The sequence below is a fragment of the Homo sapiens genome, chromosome 1 (assembly GCF_000001405.40).
Source record: "Homo sapiens chromosome 1, GRCh38.p14 Primary Assembly".
Lineage (NCBI taxonomy): Eukaryota > Metazoa > Chordata > Mammalia > Primates > Hominidae > Homo > Homo sapiens.
The window spans coordinates 248,421,444-248,426,131 of record NC_000001.11 but is presented as its reverse complement, the minus strand read 5'-3'; the positions used below and the strand labels follow the sequence as shown (position 1 = coordinate 248,426,131).

General features: G+C 34.9%; 1 annotated feature.

The window, feature by feature from the left end:
- Window positions 4,488-4,688: a silencer, noted in NCBI's record as "peak839 fragment used in MPRA reporter construct". NCBI's record gives its function as "represses an SCP1 promoter by STARR-seq MPRAs in K562 erythroleukemia cells {active_cell/tissue: K562}" and the evidence as "EXISTENCE:reporter gene assay evidence [ECO:0000049][PMID:32103011]".

Genomic DNA, 4,688 nt, shown 5'->3' with positions numbered 1-4,688 from the left:
AGTGGAAGGCTTATGAGTCATAGGTGGATGCAAAGATTTTTCTGATTGGCAATTGGTTGAAAGAGTTAAACTAAAGACTTGAAGTCAGTAGAAAAAAATGTTTGAGTTAAGGTAAGGGAGTTTGTGGAAGCTAAGATTCTTGTTACATATATGAAGCCTCCATGTAGCTGGCTTCAGAAAGAATAGATGGTAAATGTCTCTTTTTGGACCTTAAAAGGTGTGAGCCTCACAGTCTATCTTTCCTGGATCTGGAAAAGGCCTAGCTGCACTAATGGCAGATGCAAAATTTCCCCCACAAAAGATAGCTTTGCAGGGCCATTTCGAAATCTGTCATATAAATATATTTTGTGGTAAAATATTTTTATTTCTTTCAGTGTCTACTATCTGTCATGTGATGCTATATGGGAGTCAGGTTGGAATTTGGTATCTTATTGTTTTGTCAGTCCTGTGATCTCTATTTTAATGTTAATTCCACAATGGAGGGAGTGCAACAAGGTGTGCCCAATCCCCCTTCCCTCATGGCCTGAAATTTACTTTTTCAGATTGCTCTCAGCTCCACTGGCCAAGAAGGGGAATCCATTCAGTTGATTGGGGGGCTTAGGGTTTTACTTTTAGATTTCATCAAGAAGCCATATTTGGAAGGATCTTGTTCTGAGCCCTGACAGAGGAGTTTAAAATTTTTCACATCTGTCTATTAATTCATCATAGACTAAACTAGTTTACGCAGTTAAATAAAATAATGAACTATTTCAAAACAAAATTTGACTCTAGTAGACAGTGTCTGCACAATCATAGCAATCCAGTTGTGAAAAATGTTATAAAAGAACCAAGAAATAACCATGTGACTACAAAACAATGAGGGATTAGGCATCAGAAGACTGAAAATAAGCAACATACTTGAGTGTACTCTATTTTCCATCTCTCTGATTTTATTGTATTTACTCTTGCATTCCATGAGACAGTGTTTCTGCCTCTATCCAAAATTAGACCTCCTACTTGGGCTCTGTGTTGCAACCTCAGAAAATAGTAATAATAATAATAATAAAATAAATCCCAAGCCCTGTAGTTGACTGAATGGGAACTCTCTTGCCCAGGGAGATCTCAAAGAAATCTGAAAAACTAGTTCAGGCCATGACAGGAAGGGAGGTCAGACATGACTCCTTGTACTCCGTTTGTTTGGAGTTTAGGTACAACTGACCAGCATTAACATTAACACAGTGATTATAAGACGGACAAAACAGACTGTGGCAACAATAGCAAATTCCAACCTGACTCTGATATAGAATCACATGACAGATAACAGGCCCTGAAGGAAATAAAAGTATTTTACCGCAGAATGTATTTCTTTGACATGTTTTGGAATGGCCCTGCAAAGCCAACTCTTCTGGGGGAAATCTGAATTCTGTATAGAATCTGCTTCCCTTTCTATGTCTCATAAGGATCCAGAAAACATTTAACTAAGAGTCTGACACCTTTTACCATCTATCCTCTCTGAAGCCTGCTACTGAGAAGCTTTCATAGGTGGATTAAAAAGTTTTTTGACTGGCAATTTGTTGAAAGAGTTAAGCTAAATACTTGTGGTCTCTAGCATTTCCATTGAGTGCTAAATGACTGACCAGCATTAACATTAAAACAGAGATCATGAGACTGACAAAACAGATTATAGGTGGTAATAAGATACTAAATTTCAACCTGACTCTCATATAGCACCACATGACAGATAGCAAACCATGAAGTAAATAAAAATACTTTACCCTGAAATATATTTATTCGACAAATTTTGAAATGGCCCTGCAAAGCTATCTTTTGTGGGGGAAATTTTGCATCTGTAGAGAAACTTTATTAATGCCGCTAAGCCTTTTCCAGATCCAGGAGAGAGTAACTAAGAACCTGACACCTTTTAAGGTGAAAGAGAGACATTTGCCAACTATTGTTTCTAAAGCCTGATACATGGAAGCTTCCTCTACATGACAAGAACGTTGGCTTCCGCAACCCCATTATCTTAACTCAAGCGTTTCTTTCTATAACAAAAACCTTGGCTTCCACAACTATGTAATCTTATGCATTCCTTTCTACTGACGTTTTAAGTCTTTAGACAAAGCTTAACTCAACCAATTGCCAATCAGAAAATTGGTGAATCTATTTCTGACCTGGGAGCCTTGACTTTAACATGTCTAAATTTTCTGGAACCAATATATACCCTTCATGTATTGATTTATCTCTTTGATTATAACTTTGTCTCCCTAAAATGTATCAAACCAAGCTATAACCCAACCACAATGGGCACATATTCTCAGGAACATCTGGGGTTGTGTCCTGGGCCATGGTCACTCATGGCTCAGAATAAACCTCTTCAAATATTTTAGAGTTTCACTTTTCTTCATCAACATTATTTGGTGCCCAATGCAGGACCTCAGAGAAGACTAAGGACTCTCCTCCCCAAAAGAAGTTGTGTGAACTTGGAAATAAGGTACCAATATGGGCTTGTTACCAGTGGAGGGTCTTGACTACAAGTTGTCCAGGTCCTGCTTCCAGACCTTGGTGTTTTCTCTTTTAGGAAGTTAGCATAAATTGGCCTTAAGTTCCCTGTCTCCAGGTCTCCAGATCATATTCTCCTGCTGCAGGCTCATTGAAAGCCTCCTGACTTTGAGCTTCTCCATAGGTGGAACTGGTAAGTAAGTCTTCCTGAGCCACAGAACCCTTACGTGGTTAATAGTACTTTGGTTTATTCTGAGCTGGTCTTTTCCTGGGAACTTGTTGTTTCAGATTCTAATTTTGGATTCACAGGTTCATTCTAGAGTCTTCTCATTGCTTTTTTCTCCAAAAATTAGTCTCAATTGGTTCATCTGTGCATTTGCTTGAAAAACCTGACTTTGTGTAAATGAATGAGAGACAGCTTCTGAGCCCCACTGCACTGAAACCCACACTACAGTCTGGCTCCTCCATTAAAAAAAAGAAAACCTGGGAAGCAAATCCTCTAAGATTGAGAAAAGACAAGGAGATGACCTCCTTTGGGGCACCCCTGGGGGTTTTATGGCACTCGCAATTGTTTGTGTAAATGTGAAGTTTTGAGAGCATGCTTGGTTTTCTAGTACTCTGGCTGGTTATGTATTATAGTCTGTTCTGGCACATTTGTAAACTGATGGGTAAATTCAGAGCTCAAAGTTGACCTGCAACTATAGAATTAAATATGGCATCTGCTTAGTTCTTGATTTCTCTCTTTTCTTTTTCTGTTTTAAATGTATTGTTGCTTTTCTACTGGTATTGAGATAAAACCCATTGTTTAAATTAAACCATCTTTTGCAAGCTGGTGAATCTGTATTGCTGTCTTGTGACTAGAATTCTGAAATAAAATCTATGGGATCTTTGTATCCGTGTATCTATGTTGAGTTGTGTTTATGTTACATGTACATGTATTTTCTTATATGTTGTAACTGCAAGGTATCAAATGGGCTTAAAAATAAAGGATTACTCATAAACTAATAAAGTCCAAATGCTCTTCAAGTTCACATGACAAGTAAATCTTCAATAAGTAATCTGGTTTTATAATTATTAGTAAAATAAAATTTGAAATGCCTTCAGAATTGTCAGCGTACATTTTTGTCTGGATTTATTGGTAAAATAGTTTTGTATTTAGCTGTGTTGATATTATAAAGTACCAAACTTTGTCATGAAGGTTATAAAACTATAAAACCCATCCCTTAATGATCTTTGCATAATTTTTTATAAATAAGACATTTAATATTGTTGATTTATTGAAAATAGGTAAAACCTTAGCTGGCAAAAAAAAAAATCAAATAAACATATATTTAACATTTAGGTTCTTATGTAGGTAAACACCTGAAATAAACACAGCCTATAAGAATGGTTAGCTGAAAATAACTAATGATGACTAGCTTTGTCTAATATGTCAGTTTTTATAAGTAACCTAGGAAAACTATTTTAAAAAATAAGTTAGTTAACTTTAATGGGATAAGTGCTTATAAATGAACTTGTCATATAATTTAAAATCTTAAAGTTAAATTAAATAATACTCATTTAGTGTCTGGATCACTTCTAATTTAAAAAACAGAAAAACATATTTCTAAAATAATATAAAACGGTTCTCATCTATAAAATACTGATATATGACAGACAATTCAAGATTTACTACTTCCTAGGTTTTCACAAAAAATTAAGGTTACTAAGAATAAAAATTCTTGTTAATATATAATTCTGTATTCAAAGAGTGCCAAAGTAAGTTTTTTTATGAAAAAGAAATTATAATAAAGACATAAAAATATGTTCTTATTAAAAGGAAAATAATCTTTGTCAAATTCAAAGGCTATTATACAAATCCAAAGATGTATTTATTTTAAAAATTGGGTAAAAAGAATAATTTTGTATGAGAAAGAGTCTTGTATAGTAAATTTAGTCCTAAAAAAAAAAAAAACTCGTTATTTAAGAAAGAGGGAAATTTTGGACAAAACAGAAAGTCCAAGTATGTCATAAATAGTCTGTGTAAGATATGATAAAGTTTATAAAGAGAATTTATGAAAGAAATGTTTTGGAGGCTAAAGCTACTCTTTCTTAGATGGGAGGCTCAAGTAACTCCATCTTGAATGGTGATCTGCCCTGTTGGCTTCTGATTAACTCCAGGTGGGAAGACCTTTAAGATTTCCAGTTTATTTATTGCTCCTTGTGTAAGA